Source organism: Homo sapiens, chromosome 4, assembly GCF_000001405.40.
Source record: "Homo sapiens chromosome 4, GRCh38.p14 Primary Assembly".
Classification (NCBI taxonomy): Eukaryota; Metazoa; Chordata; class Mammalia; order Primates; family Hominidae; genus Homo; species Homo sapiens.
In genome coordinates this window covers 101,969,199-101,997,124 of record NC_000004.12, presented here as the reverse complement: position 1 = coordinate 101,997,124, position 27,926 = coordinate 101,969,199, and the positions used below count along the sequence as shown (strand labels likewise).

The 27,926-nt window shown below is 34.0% G+C and overlaps 1 protein-coding gene and 1 pseudogene across 3 annotated transcripts in view, besides 1 other annotated feature; both read right to left on the bottom strand.

Annotated features, from left to right (window-relative positions):
• BANK1 (B cell scaffold protein with ankyrin repeats 1) overlaps nucleotides 1–27,926 on the bottom strand; it is a 284,083-nt gene that overhangs the window by 77,688 nt on the left and 178,469 nt on the right. The window lies entirely within an intron of this gene.
• Nucleotides 19,786–19,986: a silencer, noted in NCBI's record as "peak5086 fragment used in MPRA reporter construct". NCBI's record gives its function as "represses an SCP1 promoter by STARR-seq MPRAs in K562 erythroleukemia cells {active_cell/tissue: K562}" and the evidence as "EXISTENCE:reporter gene assay evidence [ECO:0000049][PMID:32103011]".
• MTND5P5 (MT-ND5 pseudogene 5) lies at nucleotides 24,323–24,703 on the bottom strand (annotated as a pseudogene).

Here is a 27,926-nt window from a genome sequence, read left to right as displayed (position 1 = left end):
CTCAAAAAACTAGGTATTGATGGAATGTATCTCAAAATAATAAGAGCTATTTATGACAAACACACAGCCATTTTCATACTGAATGGGCAAAAGCTGGAAGCATTCCCTTTGAAAACAGGCAAAAGACAAGGATGCCCTCTCTCACCACTCCTATTCAATATAGTATTGGAAGTTCTGGCCAGGGCAATCAAGCAAGAGAAAGAAAAAAAGGGTATTCAAATAGGAAAAGAGGAAGTCAAATTGTCTCTGTTTGCAGATGACATGATTGTATATTTAGAAAACCCCATCGTCTCAGCCCAAAATCTCCTTAAGCTGATAAGCAACTTAGTAAAGTGTCAGGATACAAAATCAATGTGCAAAAATCACAAGCATTCCTATACACTAAGAACAGACAAACAGAGAGCAAAATCATGAGTGAACTCCCATTCACGATTGCTACAAAGAGAATAAAATACCTAGGAATACAACTTACAAGGGATGTGAAGGACCTCTCTTCAAGGAGAACTACAAAACACTGCTCAAGGAAATAAGGGAGCACACAAACAAATGGAAAAACATTCCATGCTCATAGAAAGGAAGAATCAATATAATGAAAATGGTCATACTGCCCAAAGTAATTTATAGATCCGATGCTATCCCCATCAAGCTACCATTGACTTTCTTCACAGAATTAGAAAAACACTACTTTAAATTTCATGTGAAATCAAAAAAGAGCCCATATAGCTAAGACAATCCTAAGCAAAAAGAACAAAGCTGGAGGCATCATGCTACCTGAATTCAAACTATACTACAAGGCTACAGGAACCAAAACAGCATGGTACTTGTACCAAACAGATATATGGACCAATGGAACAGAACAGAGGCCTCAGAAATAACACTACACATCTACAACCATCTGATCTTTGACAAACCTCGAAAAAATAAGCAATGGGGAAAGGATTCCCTATTTAATAAATGGTGTTGGGAAAACTGGCTAGCCATATGCAGAAAACTGAAACTGGACCCCTTCCTTACACCTTATACAAAAATTATACAAGATGGATTAAAGACTTAAATGTAACCCCAGAAGAAAACCTAGGCAATACCCTGCAGGACATAGGTATGGGCAAAGACTTCGTGACTAAAACACCAAAAGCAATGGCAACAAAAGCCAAAAGTGACAAATGGGATCTAATTAAACTAAACTAAACTTCTGCACAGCAAAAAAACTATCATCAGAGTGAAAAGGAAACCTACAGAATGGGAGAAAATTTTTGCAATCTATCCATCTGACAAAGGGCTAATATCCAGAATCTACAAGGAACTTAAACAAATTTAAAAGAATGAAACAAACAACCCCATCAAAAAGTGGGTGAAGGATATGAACAGACACTTCACAAAGGAAGACATTTATGTGGCCAAAAAACATATGAAAAAAAGCTCATCATCACTGGTCATTAGAGAAATGCAAACCAAAATCACAATGAGATACCATCTCATGCTAGTTAGAATGGAGATCATTAAAAAGTCAGGAAACAACGATGCTGGAGAGGATGTGGAGAAATAGGAACACTTTTACACTGTTGGTGGGACTGTAAACTAGTTCAACCATTGTGGAAGTCAGTGTGGCGATTCCTCAGGGATCTAGAACTGGAAATACCATTTGACCCAGCAATCCCATTACTGGGTATATACCCAAAGTATTATAAATAATTCTACTATAAAGACACATGCACATACATGTTTATTGCAGCACTATTTATAATAGCAAAGATTTGTAACCAACCAAAATGCCCATTAATGATAGACTGGATAAAGCAAATGTGACACATATACAACATGGAGTACTATGCAGCCATAAAGAAGAATGAGTTCATGTCCTTTGCAGGGACATAGGTGAAGTTGGAAACCATCATTCTCAGCAAACTAACACAGGAACAGAAAACCAAATACCACATGTTCTCACTCATAAGAGGGAGCTGAATCAGAACGCATGGACACAGGGAGGGGAACATCACACACCAGGGCCTGTCAGGTGGTGGGGGGTTAGGGGAAGGATAGCATTAGGAGAAATACCTAATGTAGATGACGGGTTGATGGGTGCAGCAAACCACCATGGCACATGTATACCTATGCAACAAACTGGCACGTTCTGCACATGTCTCCCAAAACTTAAAGTATAATTTTAAAAAAGAGGCAATATCAAAAAGTAAATTATGACAATAAGAATTCAAAAGTTGGGATAAAAAAAGAGACAACTTTTTTTGTTGTTGTTATAAACCTTGTAAAATGATTGGCTTCTCAGCTGTGACCCCATGAAACTTCTCTGTGCAATAAAGTGATTTTTCTAGTTTCACTCTCATTTTGAAATTGAAGAATTTTAAATATCACAAGAAATGTACTACCATGAATGAGAAAGATACGATAGGAATCAAAAGATACAGGTTTCCTGCTTTGCTAACAATGAGCTGAGTGTTTTTCCTCATCTACAAAATGAGGGAGTTGGAATAATTGATCTCTAAGGCCCCTATCAGCCCTAACATACTGCTTTTCTGATTCCATTTTCATGCACCATGTACAACAGCATGTAGCCACTTCCTTTTTCTTAAATTGACATGATGCAATTATATTTTTTAAAAAAACAGATTCTATCAATTAATTAGGAAAACAAATAATTGCTAACATTAGACAGATGGTGAAACTCTCTCAAAGTAGGGCAGACAAAATAATGTACAACCCTGTCCAAAAGCAAAAGGGTCATTTATGAGTGAATCCTCGCCTTGCAGAAATCCTCCAGATGTTTTGTTTCCATCAGGAATAGTCTGTGAATACAATAAGCATTTCTGTAGCATCCATCATAATAGCTCCTGGGCTCTAAATACTGTACACTGCAAACTGAAGACTGGATCAGATAACTCATTCTTTAATTGGAATTTAACAAAACTTAGATATGTTCCTTTTGTTAAAGTCTCTGAAAAAAATACGTCATACTTATTTTTCCTCAACTTTTAATCCAAAATGAATCATAAGATATTAAGCCTGGAGGAGACCTTAGTCCAAATGCTCCATCTCACAGATAAAGAAACAGAAGCCCAGTGCGATGAGGTGCTATGCACAAGGTCACAGACTCAAGGATTAGCAGTACTGACAGGGTCAGGGCCTAGGCCTCTGACTGTATGGCACCATGTAGACAAAGACAACAATATCTAATAGAGCCAGTGTGAGCTTGTTATTAAAGTAAAAATAAATCAGGAGAAACCAAGCAAATATAAAATTGGTAAGAAAAGCTTAAACTGCAAATTCTTGGTAGATCTTTTGGAAAATGGAATCTGGAAGGCATTTAGCCAAAAGCTTTACATCATCTACTGTGTTGTGCCAGCTTTTTAATTTGGCAGAAATAAAGGAATATTCTCCGTAATCAAACGCCCTGCCCAGGATTCTGGGCTATAATAAATTAATGAAGTGAGTTTCTTCTCTCTATTAGATTATCAGTGGCTACAATTTTTCAAGACAGAGATAATAAAATATCATACCATAAAGTGCTCTATCAGCATGCATTTCTTCAGTGCCAAGTAATTATTAATGCTGGAAAGGAAATATGCTTGGTCAGCTTTGGCAATGTATTTAAAAATGTCAGGCCCTGAAAGTCTGTATACCTCCACGCCCCAGTTTACCACATTTACTCCCTAAGCTGTACTTCCCTCTTGCTGTTGCTTTCTGTAACAAAGCATTCTAGAATCAGAAAAATGAAAGGGTTTCATGGAGATTCACTAGGCTAGTAGTTCAGGAGAGAAGAAAGTAAATTGCCAAAAAGCTACTGATGATTGCTACTGCTGGTGAAAGCCTAACCAGAAAGTATGAGAAAACGATGTACAACTTTTTCCAGCTGTTTTAGGCCTCCTGTTTTAGAATTACTTCCCATTTCTTTCAAAACTAGAGCATGCAGACATGCATACTTACAGCCACTCACTTAGGCAGGTCCAGTACAGAATCAATGACTAGATTCACAGTTAACAGATTACATAAAATCCTGACCCAGAAAGATGGAAAATAACTTATGGTCTCCATGAGAGCCAACTGTGCCGTTAAGAGTGGTCTGGATTAGCTGTCCAGGGGATCAACAACAGTTCCTAAAGGGCTTGTGAACCTACACATTTAGGACGACTGTAGGGTGATCGACCTGAGACTGTCTAAATTTTAGCTCTGAAAGTCCTGAATCCTAGGAAAACCCTCAGTTCTGGGCGACAGAGATAGTTGGTTCACCATTGTGGTGGTGGTGCTTCTTAAGTACCTTTTTTAGATCTCCGAGTATTTGAGGAATCAGATAATATTTTGACACAAAATAAAAACATGCTTGAAGCTTAAGTAATAGATATTTACTTCCATTATCTTTTGATGTTTAGCAGGTCATCTAGCATATGTTATGAACTTTGGGAAATGTATCATCTTGTTCTTTATTTATTTGCAATTTAAATGAAGCCAGGTGGGGAGAAGTTGTGTGCAGAATTAGTCATACTCCAAAGAGATATGTAAAAAGAAAAATCCTGAATAATGTTTCTATGTGCTTTTCTAACATGGTTTCTATGAACTTTTCTAACATGGTTTCTATGAACTGCTGCACACATCACGCTTATGTCTAAACACAAGCTGTATAAAAAGACTGGTAAGATAATGGTAAAAAAATTTTGAATTTAAAAGTACATAATCCAAGATATTTTTGTCTGAACAAAAAAATATTATTGTGCCCATATTTCCTATGCCATGATTTTGTGATTTTGGTTGGGAGGTTTTACTTACAAATATCTACATTATTTTGTAGCCCTTCTTTTTAAAATTATATTCATAGTTGATTTTATTGAGAAATCCACTGGTCATCAATGCATGATTTCACAAACATTCTTGTTGATTTATAGTTTTAAAAGTCATTGTTCTTTGTTCTTCCCATTGAACTAAAATGTCAACATGGTTCAGTAAGAAAAGCACATGATTAGAGTGATAATAAAAACTGAGTTCAATTTTTAGCATGACAATCTACTAGCCAAATAATTTTAACAAGCCTCTAAACATCCCTGAGCCTCCTATTTTTCATCTGCAAATTGAAGGGTTTCCGTAACATGGGTTGAAAGCATTTCTTATGTCCTACATACCCACATGAACCAAAAGGCAGTGGTTCATTTGCTCTCAGGCTTCAGGCAGAATTTTACATGTTTGTAGGTGGTGGTGAGTATTTCATGGAAACCTTCTCTCTGTGTATCCCTTAAAGACTAGGTCTGCGATGAGAAAGAGATGACCCAACCAGACATGTACATGTATGTGCAAATACACACGTATGTGTACAAACACAAACATACACATAGACAAATCCATAGTTTCTGTTCATCTTTGAAAAGTTCTACTTGCTGGTTCTTCCCCACCCCCACTGCCCCCAGATATACATGGAATTGTTTTGTGTAATGCACATGTGGAATGCTTGGAAAGGCTAACAGGGCCTTATGGCATGAGGCTTGTATGAATTAGATACAGTTCCACAAGGTCACTTGTCCATAGGCTAATTAAACCACCTCCTGGGCTCATTTTTAAAGTCAGAGTGTCAAAAAAATGATAATCCTGTGGAATGTAGAAGACATTTTCAACTTTATCTCTATATCTTTTTAACCCTTACCCAATTAAATCTACTCATGTAAAAAGTAAAAAACAAACAAAACAAAAACAAAAACAACTTATCCACCCAGGAATATAAAGAGCTTATTTGAGACAGTGTGAGCAGGCTTGCCTGCTAGTAGTATTTATCTTGCAAGTTATTCATACTTTAACTTGTAATCAACTACAGTTTTAAAAGCTACTATAATCAACTCTAGGTTTGTTTTCTTTGAAGTTCTAAATGAGAAGGGTTCTTATGGGTTCACACCCTAAGGAAGGCAAGTATAGCACAGGGCTTAAGAGAATTGACTTTGGAGTCTCAGAGAACAGGATTCAAATCCCAACTCAGTCCTTCACCAGCTGTGTGGGGTTTGGTGAGTTACATGACTATTGTAAGCCTTCATTTTCTCATATACAAAACGGGGATAATACTTTTTAACTAATGATTGTAATAAAGATTAATGGCCTAATACATGAAAACTCCCAGCATGGTACCTTACATTGAGGAAGTCTTCAACATATGGAAGCTATTATTAGAGACAGCATTTTTAGTTAATTTTATTGAATACCTACTGCATGCCAAGCACTGTTAAAGCACTTTACGTGATTTAACTTATTATCCTCACAAAACGGTATGAGTTAAATACCATCATCATCTCAATTTTATGTATGAGAAAATGGAGGCAAAGATAAATAATTTGCCTAAATTTTCTGCATAAAGAACTTATATTTTGATGATGTTGAATGTTTCAAAATATATTGCATTCTATGATCTACTTTGTAAAAGCTGATAGAGGTATAACAGCAGTTTGTAGGAAGTAAGGCCAGGATTCAAACATGGGATTTTTGGATATAGATCTTCCTTGCTTTACCACAGGTAGACTGCTTCTGCAGCTCCTAAAATTCTCCTAAGAAAAAGATTTATAAGGAAAAATGTACTCCATCTTTCACATGTCAAAACAGTTTGCAAATGACAATTCATTTTCCAGAAAGTTTGCAAATGACAATGCTTGTTCTGTGAAGAATACAATAGCAATAAGTTTTAACGTGACCATGGTGAAAATTAAGGAAGGTATCTTGGAAGTCATAGGGGAAAGGCTTCTTGTTTATTAGATTTGCAGAGTAACCACAGAATGCAATATATTTTGAAGCATTTAGGGACATCAAAACAAAAATTCTTTACATGAGAAAAATGTATAATCATAAAGTCATTCATGCTAATTCACAGTTAGAGCCAGAGTATTGCTTTTGTTTGCTGTTTTGCTTGTTTTGTTTTTTATAAGCTGAACAAGGAAAATAATTAGATTTGTCTTGTATATCCAAATAGTACCTCAGATGCTTTTTGATTATATGCCAATATTCTCTAAAGTCATAGTCAAACATTTTGCTTTTTCACTAGTGCAGTCATTAATTATTACAGTCTGAAAAATACAAAATGGATTGGAGAATTAATACTGGGAATCCATCAGCTTAATTAGTGTCTTTCTAATTTTCTACTATCACCACTTCACATGATATTTGGGAAAGAGGGAAAAAAAGAAAGGTAGGAGAGAAGGCATGTGAAACCATTTAAAAGTATCTTTGGTTGAATAAGAACAACTGTGTAGTGGAGAAATCTAGAAGACAGTGTGTTGTTTTAGTGATCAAAGTTCACATCAACAGTAATGAGATATAACAACATCATGTCTCTTGATATAATGCACTTAGAAAGGCATGACATCACGTCTCTGGCATTCTTATAAAAAATACATAACCTGGATTTAATCATGAGGAAAATGTCAGACAGCCCCAAATGGAGAGGCTGTCTATACAGAGTAACTATTTTCAAAAGTGTCAGTCATGAAAGAGAGACAGAGAAAAAAAAAAGCTGTCCCAGATGAAATGAGACTCAGGAGACACGACGCTAAATGTATTCTGTCCAGTTTGAATCTTGGCCCCCAAAAAGTATATTAGCAGGAATTGACAAAATTGAAATAAGTTCTTTAGATTAATTAATAATAGTGTATCAATATTACTTTTCTGGCTTTTCTGGTTTTTAAATTCAAGAAAAGCTTTTTTTTTTTTTTTTTTTTTTGAGACGGAGTCTTGCTCTTGTACCCCAGGCTGGAGTGCAATGGCATGATCTCGGCTCACTGCAACCTCTGCCTCCTGGGTTCAAGCGATTCTCCTGCCTCAGCCTCCTGAGTAGCTGGGATTACAGGTGCTCACCACATTTTTGTATTTTTAATAGAGACGGGGTATTGCCATGTTGACCAGGCTGGTCTCGAACTCCTGACCTTGTCATCCGCCCGCCTCGGCCTCCCAAAGTGCTGGGATTACAGGCATGAGCCACAGTGCCTGGCCAAGAAGAGCTTTATAAGAAACAGGGGGTTCTTGCTATGTTGGCCCAGGCTGGCTCAAGCAGTCCTTCTGCCTCAGCTTCCTGAACAGCTGGAACTTCAGGTGGGTGCCATTGTGGCCAGCTACTTTCTTGGTTTTGGAAACTGTTATATAATGTTATATAAGGAATGTTATATAATGTTATATAAAGAATGTTATATAAGATGTTAACCTTTCAGTAAAGCTAGGTGAGGGTATATGGTAATTTCTTAGTATATTTTTGTAACTTTCTGTAAGTCTGAAATGTAAGATGCTTCCTTAATAAAACGTTACATAATAATTTTCAGAGCCAATTAATATCTTGGATCAGTTCTAGTTTTGAATTTATGTACCATGCTGTTTTCTTCTGTGAGTTTGAATAATCAAGGGCTTGATCATTATAAAAATGAAATTCAAGAATAATCCAAGCTAGAATGATTCAAAGACTAATACAGTCCTTGGAAAAGTTTCCTAAGGACTGGTCAAAATACAATTATTTAGAGACTGTGATGAACACATACACATATTATCTGTAACCTCTATAGTGAACAGCTAATATAATAGTGGGAAGGAAATGTTGTAGTTGAAAACTTAATGAAGAGTTGTACTAAAATATTTTCAAAAATACTTTGTTGAGGCACATTATGTCCAGCAGTCTACAAATAAAAGAGAAGAGTGAACAAAACATTCACAACAACTCAAAGCAACAATAACAAAAACAGAACATTAATGACACTACCATATGTGTAATTATGAATAACTTCAAATTTCTCAGGGAGCATCCCTACAAGCGAAATTATAGGCAATTTCAGTGCTAATTAGAACTCTAAAAGCTGTTTTAACACCTAGGAAATATTTTCATGCTTTACATTTATAGAAAACATATATTGTGAAAACTCACAAAGCATAAAATTTGAGTCAAACAATACCACGGGATTTGAGAACTATTCTAAAATTAAACTATTTTCGTTAAACATAAACCATATGAAGGATCTCTAATGATAACTGATCCTTGAAAGACACAGAAACAGCTCGGTTTTGGTAGCAACCACAAACATCTCAGGGGCTTAACTCAAGAAGTATTTATTCCTTGCTCACTCAATGTGTCACTGTGATGTGCACCAGGCCTCTGCTCTTCATGGTTATTCTGGGACTCAGGCTTTAGCTCAACCAGTGCTTCTATGATCACTTCTGCAGTGGGAAGGGGATGTGGAGAATCTTGCACTGGCTTTTCATGCTTTCTCCCACAGGCAACGCACATGACTGCTACTCATGTTTCGTTGCCCAAACCAACCCTGGTGTCCATACCAACATCAGGATACAGGAAGTATAATGATACCATAGGTTCAGAAAGAGGATTGGACATTTTTGATAAAGATGTCTAATGACTCTCACAAACCTGTATCAGATGCAAATGAAAGTAAGATAACAGAGGTAGAATAAGATTTCTGCTCTTTTTTTAATATTTGTCATGAACAGAGGAGCTTCTTTGCATTTAGAAAGTTCTCAGAATTACTTGAACAAGTGGCATGGACTGATCATACAAAGATACACTCCTGCCAAGGTTGTTGAGGAAGAACAATTCCCAATGAGATAAGCTTAATTGGTAATTGGTATGGAATATTTTAGTATTTATATGCTTTAAATGAGTATATCAAAATATATGAAAAATAAGAGGGAGTATACTGGGTGGTTAAAGCCATCAAGGCTGGGTTTGAATCCTGGTTCTGCCACTTATTATCAGCAAGACCTTGAAAATGTAACATAAACTCTCTGTGACTCAGTTTCCTCACTTATAAATGAGGGTATAGTATTAATGTCCACCTCACTTATGAGATTCTTTGAAGACTGAATGAGTACACACACACAGAACACTTAGTAATCCCTAGTAAATATTATAATAAGTGTTTTCTATAATTAACTGGACTGATTACCCATTTGGCTAATTCCTTACATGGACTGGGAAAGTGAAGGATTGAGGACCAATTTTGTTTGTAAAGATAAGCAACCATCTTTCCTAAAGACAACAGCATGTATACTAAACATCAGGAAGCCCAGCTCCAGCCTCATACTTTTGTCTCTAATTGGTTGGGCAACTTCTGGTAGATCACAATATTTTCTTGACATAGCTTTTCTTTCCTTTTTTTTTTTCTTTTGTTCTTTCTAGACAAGTTGAGGTTACTTAACTTAAAAAATATATTTACTGGCAAGCCTACTATATATATATATATATATATATATATATATACACACACACACACACACACACACACATACACACATATATATATACATATATATACACATATATATACATATATATACACATATATATACATATATATACACATATATATACACACATATATAATTTAAAACCTTCCTATGTAGCAGAGGATCAATCACATTAGAAGAAAGAGTAAATGAGAAATAAGTTTGACATGAAATATAGAGCTTCAAAAGCAGAAATAATTTTATGAGGTGGTATTGGTGATAGGGTAGCCCAGTTCAGAGTATGGCATGAGAGCATCTGAATAATAATAATAATTACCAATTACTGAATGCTTAAAAATGCCAAGTACATTTACTCTTACTATTTCTTGTCATCGAAAAAATTCAAAGAGATAAATTATCATCCATATTTTTAAAGTAAGGAAACTGAAGCTCAGCAAGATCCATGTAATTTGAATCCTATTTTGTCTGACCCCAGAAGGCAGTGAGTTTTTTCATTCATGTTATTTCATGAAGAGGGAGGAAAGTAAGGAGTAAGACAGAAACAGTGAGCAACCTGGTTTGCTTGAGCCATTTGGTATCTAGGGAGTTAGCAGGAATGTAATTAAGAAGGTCTATTCCATGCATTAAAACTGTATGTTTCTGTTGTCTAATACTTAAGCTCTATTTTAGGAACATGTGTGTCTTGAATGCCTAAAATACCTGTCTCAAAGGTCCCATAGCACTTTATATGCACATTTATTGGTGCCTTTCTCACATACATTAGCCCTTACACAAATATTCACTGGAGCACTTTAAATTACTTGTTTATGGATCAGTAAGAGAGTTTTGAGTTTCTCCAAGGGAAGAACTATGCTTTATTCACCTTCATATTCCTAAGATCCCATTACAATGATTGGTAGACATTAAATACATATTTTCTGAATGGAGTAAGTGAATTAATGCTTTCGGAATGCAGTTCTCTTTTATCCTTAAATGTTTCCTTGATTCTTAGCTTACTAAGGATTCTCTCAAATCCTTTGAAATCTGACAAAATATAAATCTTCAATAAATGCATAAAGTAAACAAAGACTCATTTTGCTAGAGGTAGATGTTATTTATAATTAATGTCAGAAATCTGACATTGGAAATCTATTAGATGTTGAATGTAGATTTTTATTTTTTTTAATTTCATGTTATTTTCATTTTGGAAGAAAGTTTACACTGATTATAACAGACATAAATGGAAACATGATTGAACATGCAATATTTTTACATGCATCAACTTGAAAAATGTTTCCAAGGTATAAAGCAAGTCAATGAATACTGCAGCAATTAAATAATAACATTAGCAAGTAGCACTCATTTCTAGAACACAAGTTAAAATTTAACACCCTTTACCCAATATTATGAAATCCTACTATGGGGATTTAATAACTATTAAGTAGTAATAAATTTTGAAAACTAAATTAAAAAAAACCAGATTTAGTGATTGTTAATTTTATGTATCAACTTGCCTAGGCCACATGGTGCCCAGATAGTTGGTTAACATTATTTCTGGATGGATCTGTGAAGGCGTTTTTGGATGAAATTAACATTTGAATTGGTAAACTGAGTAAAGCAAATTACCCTCCTCCAACGTGTGTGAACCACATCCAATCTGTTGAGACCTGAATAGAATAAAAGGCTGAACAAGAAAGTATTCTTTGTCTTGCCTGTCTGTTTCTGAGTTGGGATGTTGATCTTCTCTTTAAACTTGGACTCGAATTGGAACTTACACCATTGGCTCTCCTGGTTCTCAGACCTTCAGATTTGGACTGGAACCACACTAGCAACTCTCCTGGGTCTCTAGCTTGCTGACTGCATCCTTCATAATAATGTGAGCCAATTCCTCATAGTAAATCAATCTCTCTCTCTCTCTTGTTGAAATCTCCTATTGGTTCTGTTCTCTGGAGAACCTAATCTAATACAGATTGTATACATGGTTAAATATCCTGCTCCACTCTTCATAGGATCAATGATTGTTATAGGCTTTTATCTTTTCCTAGTAGTTGTCACTTCAGGTCGCATTCGTGATTACATTATCTCAGAACTGCCAAAAAGACTCAAAGGATTTTGTTCTACCTGCCCCCTTTTTCTTATGCAGATAGCTATTTAAAATAACCTAGGATGATGGTTTTCTTTTTGTTTTGAAAGGTCTCTGAGAATGAAGATGGCATTTATTCCTCCCCACAGAATCTCATTTTCACATTTATCACAGTGATAATCAGCAAGTTTGTTCTTAGATCTAATTGAAATTCTGTCTTTAATTAAGTTGGTTCCCTAAGAATTACTGTTATTCCATAACACTATCAATGACAGCAATGATAACATCCCTTAGTGCTTTTACTTCAAAACTACTTAGCACTTTTATTGCAAATTGCATGTTATGTGTATAATAATTCTGAGAGGTCAATGGTAAATGAGATAATATCCTTATTTTCTGGATAGAAAATCTTCATCAAAACAAAAAGCTTTTCCTGGTAAGTTAGTGGTCTTAAAGCTGAAGCTAGCTATCTTTTCTATAAAGAGAATAACTACTTAGTGTCATTTTCATAAAATCCCACCATATTCTAAAAGGGAGGATAATATTGATCTTGGCCTCTACTTTTTAGGCTAACTACCCTAATCCTTAACTTTCTTCCCAGGGCTTCTTTACTAAAGGTTTCTTAACTTTTCATTCCTCTTTTTCGAGCTTTCTTAGGTCTTTTATGTCCTTTTGGAAGTGTGGCAACTTAAGCCTTACATAGTATTTTAGTAAAATTGTGACTAATAAATGTTTAGTTTCTTGTAATATAAATGAAATTCTCTGCTTATCTACACTAGATGCATTTCATATCTGATATCAGCATGTCTTGAGCTAGTTATACATTCCCCTCTCTTATCTATGTAAACATTGTGATTTAATACAGTCAGAACATATTATGATTGGCTCTGGAATTTTTTTTCTTGTGCACTTCAGGCTTTCATATTATCCTCTCAGTACTATTCTTTGCTATTATGCCCTTGCCAAAGCATTAATGCTATCCAATATGTTATTTGGATTACTTTTTGACAAATTAATTAAAATAATATTGAAAGTAAATAAGCTAATTTGGGGAGGCTTTGAAGCACTGACAAATCTAATGCTTTCAGCTAAATAATTTTGCTCTGTGTTAAATATCTGGAACATCTTTTCTCCCTTCTTCCAAAAAATCCTTTGTGATAGGAAGTCTTTAATCAGGTCCATTTGTTTCTTTTAATCTTATGGTTAGCTTTTAAATATCTGTGAATACTATGCTACACTTCAAATAGGTCAGTTATTCATAATCTTGTCTTCCAACAATTTTCTGAAGGGGCTGTACTGAAATTATAATGGCTGCCAGGCATTGTTGTAAGCACTTTATTACATTAACTCACTTTATCCTCACAACAGTTTGTTTTGAACAAATTGTGGAAGAGACTGTTTTATGGATGAGGAAATTAAGGAGCAGAACTTTAATAATTTGCTTAAAGTCACAACAGCTACTACGTGGTAAAGACAAGATTCAAGTCCAGGTAGTATGATCCCAGAGTCTGATCTTTTGAACACTGCACTAAATTGCTAATAACTTCTAAAAGATTTCCATACATTTTCCTCTAGCATATAATATGGCTAAATGTCAGTGCTGTATTTGAGAGTAAGTCATAAATGTGTATTTTAAAATTTAAATATTAACTTCATTTTATCCATAACTTGGCTTTGCGCTTCACATACAGAAAATTTTAAAGATAAATATTTCCATTACTTATTAGGCATAAGAAGAAAAGCAAACCTAAAACTAAACTTGAAGCCTAACCAAACTACAATTTGTTAGGGGATAGTTATACTGCGCCTTGGGAAATGATAGCATAAAAATAAAGTAAAATAAATCTTTAAAAATTGTTATCAGAAAATTCTTCAAGGACAAATTTTCATTACTTAAAGAGATTAAATTTTAGGGAATTTAGGGAAAGCTTCTACATAATCTTGGTGAAATTCCATGCGTATATACATATATATATATAGCCTTAGAATAAAATTATTAAATATGTAAAACCGGTTTAACTTGATGCATTGGTTGGGCGGCATTTTTAAATTATACTTAATGATTATATTCATTGAATATATTTGTCAATGGAATGAAATATGATACAACTGCTGCTCTCTTTACATAATAATGATGTATTCTTGACATAATCAGAAACAAATCAGATATAGTAAAATATATGATAATCCAAAGGTGTGATAGGAGCTGTATATGTTATGAGTGTTATAGTAAGTACTATAGTAAGTACTTTTGCCGAATAAAAAAGTGCTTTAAAAAGTTATTGATTGCCTACAATATGTGTTAAAGAGAATCTAATATTTAAATAAATCATATTTGCTTATTGTCAAACAAATGTATACCTACTTAGCTGAAGTATTCCTTAGGTATGATAAATAGCACAATAAATAGAAAAAGAATTCTCTACTAAACTTCATAATGATAGGCATTTCAGGCCACTAATAGGCCTAATAATTTTTATTTCTACAAAAAGATTGACCAATGTCAGAGTCATAGACCATCAATGCCAATTTATATGGGTTGTTAAAGTTCTGTCTTAAAATATTATTATTAAAATATGTTTTTATTATATAGATTAAAATATCTTTAAAATATTTAAAATATTGTTAATGAAACTAGAAAAAAGACACCATAAAATATAAAAGGTTGCCAAAGCTGCTACTAATTCATTATAGGAGCCAACAGAAGGAAAATGAGGGAAGCTTAGAAGAGATCCCTGCAAAGAGAGTGCAGCTGCAGCAGACCCAGGGAGGAAGAGCACAAGTACACTTCCTCATGGCAAGGGGCCCATCCAGGGGGTTAAAGCCTTGCTGGTAATAAGAGAGGCATGGGGGAACTGAGTGGGAGCAGAACCACAATCCCTACCCACACACACCCTACCACATACCTAGTTTAGCTTCAAAAAGCAGACGGTGACAGGGTTACTACAAGAAGTATGCCAAGCAGCAGTGCTTTCAGGAAGCCTTCTTATTTTGTGGCAGCCAAAACTTGGTGAACCTGTAAAACAACCTGGCTCCTTTGACAGTAGATGGATATCTTCAAAGCTGACTCACTGAATATCATGTATTAATGAAAGAACTAGTATAGTAGCTTAGAAAAGGTATAGAAAGAAAAAATGATGAAGAAAGCAGAACATTTTAACCGATGAGGGAACTCCCACCAGGAACCCTCTGCCATAGATCAGGATAAATATTTAAATATATAATTCCAGTGTTACTAAAATGTGCCAAGGCATATAAAAAAGTATATCCAAATCCTATTTGAAACATGTATAGCTAAAATCATCAATGATTTCAGAAAAACATATGCTACAGAACATTTTAACTCATGCATTTCAATGTTAAAATAATAAAATTTATTAATCAGAAGCCGTCAGCACATTACGAGAAAAATATATCATGACCAAGGGGAATTTATTCCTAGAACACAAAATCAGGTCAATATTATTAAATCTATTCAACTACTTTATTATATTAATTAGTCTAAAGAGAAAAAGAATATTCCTCTCTCCATTGACACTAAAATGGTATTTGACCAAATTCAACATGCATTCTTGACAAATAAAAATTAATTCTCAGAATAGTAATCAATGAAAAGTTATATAACCTGATAAACACATCTATTTCAGTCACAGAGAGAGTATCAGGCTCAATGGGAGAATAATAGAGGCATTTTCACTAAAGTTGGAAACAAGGCAAGGATGCCCACTATCAACTATTAAATAACACTTCACTCAGTGAATAGTTACAATTCACAAGAGGACAAAATTAGAGATATTAAAATTGGAAAGAAGAGGAGAAACTATCACTATATTTGCAGATGATGTCTCATATGCTTGGGAAGCTCATGAAAATCAAGTACAAATTTAATACAACCATCAAAGTTATTTAGTAAGATGCCAGTAGCAGCACACTTAAATTAATAGCCTTGATTACATGTAAACAATAATCTGTTAGAAGATCCTGATGAAGACCAATTCATGATAGCAACAAATAATCAAATGCAGAGAAATAAACTTAACAAAAATGCTCAAAGAAAGAGAAGAAAAAAGAAAGAAGAATGTAAAACCATCTTTGCAAACATGAAAGAAGATGAAGGTAAGTGGGATGACATACTGTTTCTTTGGAGAGAAAGACTCAACATCACAAGGACATAAACTGTTTCAATTTAATTTATAAATAAAAGCAATCCCAGTAACATTTTATTTTTCATAAATACACAAGGTTTTTCTAAAGTTTGAATGTCAAGACAATATAAATAAGAATATCCAAAAAGCTTCTGCAAAAGAAGAGCAACGGGAGGAGGGGAGCAGCCTTATCAGATTAAAACACACTGTCACGACTCATTTATGAACAGAAAAAGAGAACAACAGAACAAGAGAAAGTAAAAAAAAAATAACTCAAATATATATGGCATTTTATTATGTAAAAATAATGACACAGAAAATCACTGGGAAAAAATAAAACTAGCAATTTTTGGGACAATTGATACTCAGGAAAAAAATAAAATCCAATCCTCACTTACTCAACCAAGATAAATTCAAAATGGATAAACGATTTAAATGTTAAAAATGAAAACAAAATTATGAAAAACCTAGCAGAATTCTTTAGAGTCTCTTGAGTAATTTTCTAACATTGACACAGAAATCTATAAACCACAAAAAATAGTTAATGAACTTGGCAACACAAAAATGATAAATTTCTTCACAAGAAGAAACTTAATGCAATCAAACTCAAAAGAAAAATAAGAAAAAAACTTTTGCCACTTATAAAGTGGTAATCTCCCCAAAATCTAGAGAATTTTTCAAAATGAAGAAGTAAAGGACTAACAAGTCAACAAAACAACCACAAAATTGGGCAAGGAATATCAAGTGTTTATAGAAAAAGTAATACAAATAGTTTGAAACAATAGGAAAATATGTTTCATCTGAGTAATACTAAGAGAAGTCAGATACCAATTTACTCCCATAAAAAATGGCAAAATTCTATGTTTGACAATTTATAGCCAAGAAATTGGGCACTAATCTTCATTAATTTGTAAAAGTGTGAATTGGTTCACCACCTAGGAGGGCAACTTGGCAGTCCCTATCAAAATATACATATTTATTTATATACTTACACAAATCTAAATTTCTTACATATACACATATGTAAATGTATGTTAGCAGTCCTTAAGAATGTGAGAATCAAAATCATACATATAGAGAGATAGACATAGATAGTCACGATTTTGTTTTAGTGATCTAACTGAAATAGCAAATTTCATATAATTTATTAACCCTTTATGATTTTCTCTCAGTTTATATGTCTTTCTGAAAACAACTTATTCTCAAAAAAATGTTGAATATTGACTCAATGAAAAGGAAACATTTAATAGTATTGTGAGTCATTTGCAACATTTCAATAAGAAACAGGGAGTTTTTCTACTCAGAACAATAACAGGTTGTTTACTGTTCTTTCTCTTTCTGGATTATATTCACAGCTTTATTGGTTTCCACTGGAATAATTTATACAAATTAATTTTTTATGGTCAAAAACTAATGTTATACAATTTTAAACACTACCAGAGGCAGTCTGTTTTTTTTCTTAAGAAAGCCTTTGCTGCAGTGAAATATAACAATGCTACCATTCTTTTCAGAGAATAGAACATTACATCAGGTATTATCTTGCAAACTTTATCTTAAATTTATTTCTTCTCATCTTATATTTCACAGGTATATTGGATCTTTATTTTATAAAATGGATTGTGCCTAACATTTGCATTACTGCTTCTTTATGCATGTCCTATACTCTTTGACAATTTATAATAAAGATAATAAGATGCAAAAGTCATGTGTTATTCCAAATCTAATTATCAGCCAGCCTCTTTGGCAAATGACATCTACCAATTTTAAATACAAGTAGGAAAGCTAAACCTTAAAGGATGTATCATTACATTGATAAAAACAAATATCACAGTATCTTAATTTTTGAAATTTGGTGATGTTAGTTAAGTGTGACATAAATTTGGTGTTTCTACGGAATATATTGTATTTAAGTCTGTATTTCAATGGGAAAGATATTTTAAGCAAAAATCTGTGGCATTAAATAAGAAAATCAATCAAAACTATTATTGTGGTCAAGCCACAATTCTTTTTTTTTCAATGGAAAGAAACTATGACAAATTACGGTCGGTCACTGATACCTAAGTTTTCCTAACATATTTCAGAAACACAACAAGAAAGCTTTCTAAGTGTCTTGAAAAGCTCTATAGATCTGGAACTATTTGATCAAGAGCTAAATGTACGTATTAAGAATGCCTGGTAATTAAATATTGGGAGAAAAATTGGAATAGGGGACTACCTTCAAACGATAATTGTAATAATAGCAACTAATGTTTATTGAGTACTTACTACCTTCCAGGTACATCATATATATTATTGCAATTAAATTGTTTAATATCTCCCTCTACAGAATTTAATATTACAGAGACAAGAATTTAGTCTCTCTGTTTATTAGTATACTTCTCAGGTTTCAGTTTCCCCATTTATAAAATGATCAGGTTGAGTTGTATGATCTTTGAAGAACTGCTTTAAAATACTGTGATTCTAAAAATAAAGTTCATCATTTTCTGATCTGGAATTACAAAATTGAGTAAATGAAATCATTAGAGTTTCATTGTTTTCTTTTTTTCTTTTTTTTTTTAAGTACCTACTTTTTTATTATTACTTTCAAAAATGTTTTGGAAAATACTCCCAGCTACACGGGAGGCTAAGGCAGGAGAATTGCTTGAACCTGGGAGGCAGAGGTTGCAGTGAGCCAAGATTGCACCATTGCACTCCAGCCTGGGAGACAGGGTGAGACTCCGTCTCAAAAAACAAACAAACAAACAAACAAACAAACAAAACCCCTAAATTTTAAAACATTTAATACTAATTTTCATTGGTATTTGTTGAAATTTGAGGAAGAAATATTTGATTTGTGGTGAGTATACATCTTCATGCACACTAAATAGAATCAGGTATTTTTAAAATAGCAATTCTTGTAATAGTTCTATCATTTTTGTCTTTAAGAACAATGGAGAAATAATATAAGTGACTCATTTTTTGTTAAAGATAGGATTTTTGGCTGGAATGACCATGGATCTCACTCAGGATGGTAATTCATGTAATCTTATTGATATAAGGTCAGAAAATACATGAAAGAAAGAAATTAGAAGAACTCAGAGACTACATTTGTCTGGAAATAATTGTATTCTTAAGAATTGTGGTCCTGATGCTCCAATTAAGTTAATAGCCAATAAAGTGGAAGAATGGGCCACATCACAGGAATATCTTGATTTAATAAATAACAACACAGTTTATGATGAAAAAGATACAAATAGTCACATTTAACGACCACAGTGACAAGAACAATTTTGGGGCTAATCTGCGTCATTAGTGCTGTTTAAAATATTTTGATGCTCCTCTTTTGGGCACATCATAAAGTTGGACTACACTTCTCTCTCCTCCTTGAGTTAGGCTTGGCCATGTGCCTGGCTTTGTCAGGAAGCTTTAAGAACCAGTGTGTGATTCACCACATTCCCTTCCTTATGCTGCAAGAAGCATGGAAATATGAGTAATGATGAAGTCTGCCAGGCTGGGTCCTTAGTGATTATGATGAGCAGAAGCCCCAAGCTGAACTGCTTTCAATGTGCAGTGTAAATGAGTGTCATCTTTAGCCACTGAGAATTCTGTGTTTTCTGTTATTGCAGCTAGCCTATCCTGACTGAAACAGCATCTCTTGGAATTCAGGGACTTTCTTCATCCCTGACTACATGCATCAGACTTAATTAGATGCACAAAATCTGGATGACTTTCACAACACTAAAGTAATTTTACTTTCTAATTCATAATATTTGCTGATTCATATTATTACTTTTGTTATAATAGAAATAAATTGAATACTGCATCCTGTAAAATAATGCTACCTGAATATTCCACCGTAAGATTCAGCTTGCATACAAAATCTCTGATACTTTTAAATCTTTTACAAGTTGCCCACATGACATGCCTGTTTTGACTAAGTTTGCAGATGATTTATTTTCTTAACATTGTTGTTCTAAAGAATAAGATTTTCAGAAGCACCAGTTATAAAACTGACTAAACTCAGATAAATTTTATGATATTCATAGGAAGCATATGGCATTCTAGTGATAATCAAATGAAATTTATAATTGCAAATTAAAATATGATGTTTATCTGGCATGTGAAGGGAGCAAACCTGGACTCTTTATTATCCAAAATTTCCATTTAGATATATTAATGCTCAAAGCAGAAAATTGTCTAATCAATACTTTACTCTGGCTAGAAAATTAAAGAAAATGTCAGGATGCCAATTCTACATGTACTCTCTGAATTAAATATGCCATTAAAATAACTCAAAATCTCTTCAGCCATCTTTTTGTGTATTATTTTTGTGTATTCTTTGCCAGCATTAATCAGAATCCTGGATAGTTCAATACTTTCCCACTTCACAGGAAAGTCTCAGACTTAGAAGATTAGTTTAGAAAATGGAGAAACCTAACCCCTACTCTCAGCATCTTGTGTTATTACTATCGATTTTCCCTGTGGCATTGAAGTATAGATCCAGAGACAGCCAAGCTGTATTTAGAATACTGAAAAGAGGCAACAAAGAGCAATATCTCTAATTCACTGCTTATGACCACAGGAACTTCAGATCTTTGGACAAACTGGAAACCTGAGATGTTTCTTTAAATGCCTTTCAGCGCTAGTTTATACACATACAAGGTGCTGAAAATTATTTACTGAATGAATTAATTTCTAATCAGCTTCTTCCCCTGGTTTGGGGAGGATATGTTGTAGGAAAAGGTCTTTGAGAAAAGACCTTTGAGAGTCTAAAAGAAAGGATAGCATATCTGAATGCGGAAATTCGCACAGAGAAAGGACGGAAGTTATCAAACACTATTGGTGGTTATAATCAGTCACTGGTTCCATTCTCATTATAACAATATGAATATTCATTTATTTATTCATTTAATAAAGTGATTGATCATTTGCCACATCCTTGATCTGTGCTCATTACTAAGGATAAAGAGCAGAAACAGCACTCAAAAAGATTTCAGCTTATCAGAAAATCCAGCAAATAAAACAAATGATAATAATTCCAGCTAACATTGAGTGTTATTGCTAGCCACTAATAAAACCACTTTTAATGCATTAACTCATTTAGTCCTTGCAATAATCTTATGAAGGTGGTGATTTTATTATTAGCACTGCCATTTTACAGATGAGGAAACAGACACAGAGAGAACTGTCTCTGGACAAATAACTAGAAAGAGGCAGAGCAAAGTTTTGAACCAAAGAAGTCTGCCTGCACATTCCATGCTCTAACCACCATATTCTACAATCTCTCTAATGAACTGTAATGGCTTCAAGACCAGAGGAAATATAAAAAGCAGTAAGCCTTTATGATGGGCATAATTTAGATAGTCTAGACTTACATGAACAACTCATCTTTAACTGGAGATCTGATGAAGTTAAATAATTTATATCATTGCTCTCAGTCTGAATAAAAGGAAAAAAGAGTTAGCTAAATGTGTTTAATGACAATCTAAATGTTATCTCCAAATCTGCTTATATGATTTATTTAAAACAAGCTTAGATGAACTCTCCTATCATAGAAGAAACTACTTGTGAAGTCAGTTCTTCCTTCTAAGGATTTTGGAGAATTTTTCCACTGACATCTCTGAAAATGGCTTTAGAATAAAGCAGATTTTTTTCCCCCAGTCCCTCTCTCTCTTTTGTTAAGCAATTGGGAAGCCATGTTTATTAGTTTGGCTTGTAGGTTACAATGAGCACACTGCACCTAAATGTTTCAGTTTATTTATTTATTCTGAGACGGAGTTTCACTCTTGTTGCTCAGGCTGGAGTGCAACGGCATGATCTTGGCTCACTGCAACCTCCACTTCCCAGGTTCAAGTGATTCTCCTGCCTCAGCCTCCCGAGTAGCTGGGATTACAGGCACCTGCCACCGTGCCCAGCTAATTTTTTTTTTTTTTGTATTTTTAGTAAAGATGGGGTTTCACCATGTTGGCCAGGCTGGTCTCGAACTCCTGACATCAGGTATAGAGCTATGTTCTCAAGATGAAACTCATAATGAAAAAGTCAGTATCACAAAGGGTAGAGTAGAATCTCAATAAGACATAACACAAGAGCTACAGTTTAAAATGTATTAGATTTAGGGCCATATAACATTACTGGCAAAAATCTGTTACTGCACAACAAACTATTGGAGACCATGGAATTATTTGGCACAGTGGAAGGTTGTTATTATCAGTCCATTGCTGGCAATCTTACTTTCAATCTAAGAAGCTAGTGATGACATGAGATAAACTTGCACTGCTCTAGTGATTAAACTGATGAAAAGGTAGGAGGTATTATGAACATTACAACTCCTCTCTCTGCTTTTTATCCAATGTGGCAGAAATTTTATAGTATTTAGGCAGGTTGTTTACAAACATGTTTATGATTTTGAGAGGGAAATGATTAAAGTAAAAGGAGTGAAAGCGGCTAATAGCTAAATGCTGCCCTCCATAACTGAAGAATAGAAGAATAAACAAATAGTTGTTTCAGTTCAATTGTCTCCACTCAGTTAGGTTTTTTGACATAAAACAAGATTATTACATGGAAAAGAAGCAGAGAAAGTATTTAAATATTTCTAAATAGGAATATTTATTATTTAAATTCATTTAATAATACATTCTTTTTCTCCTTGAGACAATAAGTATTTACTGAACACCCACCCTACGCCAGGTACTGGGTTCAATTAACACAACAATAATAATTAATACCAGGTAAAAAGCTATGTTGTTAAAACCTTTCAGTGTTAAATGATTAATAATAATTGGAATATCACTTTTTAACAGAGCATTGGTCTGAAATTCAGTAGCTAGTTAGGATTAGGGAAGTCAATGAGCCCTCTCACTCAATTTTGCCATTTAAAAAAAGGACCAACTATAATATGATTGTCTTTTCTATTTCATAGACTATGTAGAAATGTTTTATATGCAAAAGATAATATTACTTTTGTTTCCATTTATAAAACTCAACATTTCATAACATTAACAACCCCGAAATGAGTTATATTATATGTGACTCTGGGGATTTTTTCATAATGTGAAAAAGAGCCAGGGAACTCAAAAACTTATGAAAGTAATGCAAAATGACTATTTTCCACCATTAGAGGAAAATTTAGCATTTCCTGGAATTTCCACATCATAAAATAGTTTATTTACTGATCTTCTATTCCTATAAAAATACTTCAGGCAGGAAAGTTTAGTGACTAAGGCAGTAGAATTTAGAGGCTCAGGAAGAAAGCTCTGGACTCAGTCATGTTTACATTTCAACTATGCAACATATTGACTGTATGGCTTTGAGCAACTTACTTAATATAAGCTGAAGTTTCCTATTCTGTAAAATAAAGATCATAAAATCTACTCTAAGTTTTTTTGAATGTTATTTGTATAAATAAAGTAAAAATCTATGATGGCTGTAGTTTTTAATTATAAATAGATAATATATAATTATGTAAATTTATAAGGCACAAAGTGGTATTATGAATTATTAATACAATGTGGAATAATTAAATTAAACTAGTTAACATATCCATCACCTCAAATACTTGACATTGGTTGTGGTGAGAGCATTTGAAATTTAGTCTCTTAGAAAATTTGGAATGTACAATACTCTATTATTAACTATATTTACCACGTTGGGTAATAGAGCTAAAAAAAAAACCACCACAGATTCCTCCTGTCTGAGATTTTGTACCTTGTGATCATCATGTGACCATCAGCTGCCCTTTTCCCCAACCCACATCCTGCATAACCACTATTCTACTCTCTCCACATGTGAGAACATGCAGTATTTGTCTTTTGGTGCTTGGCTTATTTCTGTTACCTTACAACAAACAAAACACAGAATTATTTGTCACAGTGGAAGTTTGTAATTATCAGTCCATTGCTGGCAATCCTACTTTATGTGCACGTGAGGGGGACTCAAATTTGAGATTATTTGTTATAAGGTTAAGTTCTATTGCCTCTGTAAATTCTAGATGAGTTATGACAAGAGCTGTGAATTTTAGGTATAAGGGCATATCTGGGGAATAGATATGACAGTAATGTTGCTGGAGATAAGAGATCGGGCAGGAATACTACTGACTGCTAAACATTTAATTGAGTTGATTAGAAGGGGGATGATTTTCATTGATGATGAATAGGATTGTGAAGCTAGGTTGTCCTAAGAATGCAAAGACAATAATTCTAGTACTGTGGACAGCTTTTAGTGAGGTGGCAATGAGTGTAATTAAGAGGGCTCAGGTGTTAGTATATTACATGTTTGCAGTTTCAATAATAAGGTCTTTAGAGTAAAGACTCTCTGTTAGAACCAATAAACAAATACAGTAAAGTTGCAGGATACAATATCAACACACAAAAATCTGTAGCATTTCTATACAAATGTATTTATAGAATAAACTATCCAAAAAGGAACTAGCCAATGAATACGTTTATTCAATGAACTATCCAAAAGAGAAATCAAGGGAAGAATCCTAACTACAATAGCTATAAGAAAAGACTTAGGAATAAATTTAATCAAAAAGGTGAAAGACCTATATACTGAAAACTATCAAAGATTCACAAAAACAACTGAGGAAGACAAATAAATTGAGACATCCCACGTTCACGGGTTTAAATAATTAATATTGTTAAAATGTCCATACTATTCAAAGCAATTTACAGATTCAATACCATTCCTATCAAAATTATTGTCATTTTTCATAGGAGTAGAAAAAACGATCCTAAAGTTAACATGAAAACACAAAGAACCCCAAATAGCCAAGGCAATATTGTACAAAAAGAACAAAGTAAAAGTATCACACTACCTGACTTCAAATTATACTACAAATCTGTGGTAATTAAACAGCACGGCACTGGCAAGAAAAAGAAAGGTATCAACGAATGGAACAGAACAGATAGCCCAGAAGTGAACCCATGCAAGTATGGTCAATTGATTTTCAACAAAGCTGCCAAGAATACATAATGGGAAAAGAACAGTCATTTCAATAAATGGTTTTGGGAAAACTGGATGCAGCTACATGCAGAAGAATGAAATATCTCATACTATATACAAAAATCAACTCAAAGTGGATTATAAATACTTAAATGTAAAACCAGAAACTGTAAACTGCCAGGGGAAAACTACATGACATTGATTTGGGCAATGACTTTTTTGGATTTGACCCCCAAAACACAGGCAACATAAGCATAAATAGACAAACAGAATCACATCAAACTAAACAGGTTCTGCACAGCAAAGGAAATAATTAAGTGTGGAGAGATGACCTAGGATAGTTTTAGATGTGAAAATACTAGCTATGTTCATCTTATTGTTTTTTATGAGAGAATGATTTCTGGCTGTATCTCAAGTCTTACCATATGTCTATGCTGTTATCAGAATTTCCACCAAATAGATTCTCACTTATTTTTCTGTTTTTTACACATTTTCTTAATAGAATATTTGGAGACACACTTGATTAAAAGCCACAAAATACCTCAGTATCCCCTGGAGTTTATAAATGCATCTAGTTTTCACCCTAATATATTTAATTGTCCTTTAGCATTATTTATTGCCCAGAGAGTGATCTGTATACTGAGAAAGCTCGAAGTTTATCAGGTAACACCTTTAAGTTATGCTATATTTCTTGCTATTTCCTTTTCTTAATTCATAGTACAGTTCAAATTATGTTGCATGAAGAGTTCATCCCAACATTCCACCTGGTCATTCATCTTTGGCAGCACATCTGTGAAGCCTCATTACACGCCTGCACGCTATGACACAAGTGTGACAAACAACGGGCCAGTTACTTGGGGCTGTATGTTTAGAATCCTGCTAAACAGAAAATTTTTAAATGATCATAGCTGAAATCCTAAGGAAATCATGTTTACTTCTTATATTTCACTCTGGGTTGACCCTAGGGAACATAAAACCAGATTCTACTGATCTTCCCTTATCAGATGTTTGGTTTTCTCTAAGCAAACATCTATCTGGGGAGCATGACAGGGTCATGACAGATTTCCCAGTGGGGACTGTGGAGACTGGCTGGAAGGCTATGAGTGAGTGAGCTGACATCCACTGCAGCCTTTCTCATTTTCTATTTAATTATCATGCCAAGCTGTGCAGGCTAACACGACTTTCCTAAAGTGAATGTTCATCTGAAACAAAGTTAAGAGTATCTTACGTCCAAGCTTGTTTGCTGTTTGGTTGTTGTTGCTTCCTCTCCCCTCCAGGAGAGTGGTGGTGATAGGACAAAGACAGAATAAAATGAAAGAAATTGATGAAAGAAATTGGGGATTTCTCATTTCTGAAACTTTTTCACAGTTACTTTAACTTTCCCACTTCTGATTCTTACAGGTAATTCCTAAATATTCAAACCATAGTTCATTATGCAATTGCCAAACTTTCTTTCCTCAACTTTCCATTTATTGTCTGCATTACTCTGACACTCGTCTCAATTGCTTAACTATAACAATATCCATGGTAATAGTAGCTACCTATTGAATCCGTACTATGCGCCAGCGCCTCGAATCTTCACAACAGTCCTCTGGGATAACAGTGCCTGACACGCAGAAGGAATTCAATAAAAAGTTCAACCTAGAGTCAGCTGGAATGATGGGAACTTAGAGGAGGAAACAGAGGATTAGAGAGGTGAAATAACTTACCCAAGATCAAGCAGCTGGTAAAATCCTTTAAAACTCAAGACTGTCTTACTGACTTTGCAGAGGCAAAACAGGTATCTTATTGATTGAAACTATTGTGGCATTGAAAACCATTCTGTACAAATAATGGGTCCTAAATACACACTCCCTATAGGAAGCCTTCATTGGAAAATAATAAATAATTTTACTGATCTCTGATTATATTAATTTTATTTGAAAATTAGCCTGAAAAGAGGAAATCTGAAATGGTCTCCTACCATTTGCTTTGCTGGTGTGGAGCGGGGGAACACCACTACTCTCCCTGCTGAGGAAGATTGGTTTCCAGTCTATCCATAGTAACAAATAGGGTGTCCATTTCATTCATCCTATAATTCTCTAGACATCATCTGCACATGTATACTTATCCCAAATACATTTGGACAGCAAATTTAGTGAGAGGGTCATTTTTTATTCAAATAAATATTTTCCTCAGTAAACTTTTTTTTTTACAAAGAAACTTTTAGGGATTTGGAAATATTTTACTTTGGAATGGAAGGCAGTGTGTTGTTATAAAATTACCAAAACTTTTAATAACTAACCAAAATTTTTCTTAGTTTATGTAACATTTATCAAGACTCTTTTGGCTATGCACATTAATCAAATAATATCTGAAACTTCACTTTTATCAAGTGTTTCTCATTATGCAAACTTTTAAACTAATTCATAATTAGTTGCCTAGGCATTTTCATTAGCCAGAGACACAATTTCCTTCCCATTTCACTTATAATAGCTAATGGTATAGTATGAACTCCTTAAGTATTTCAGATGACTTCGCTTTCTAGTTTGATTTTTTTAAAAAAAAGATCTTTGCTTTTCCATTTCTTCAAGGTCAGGTATAGA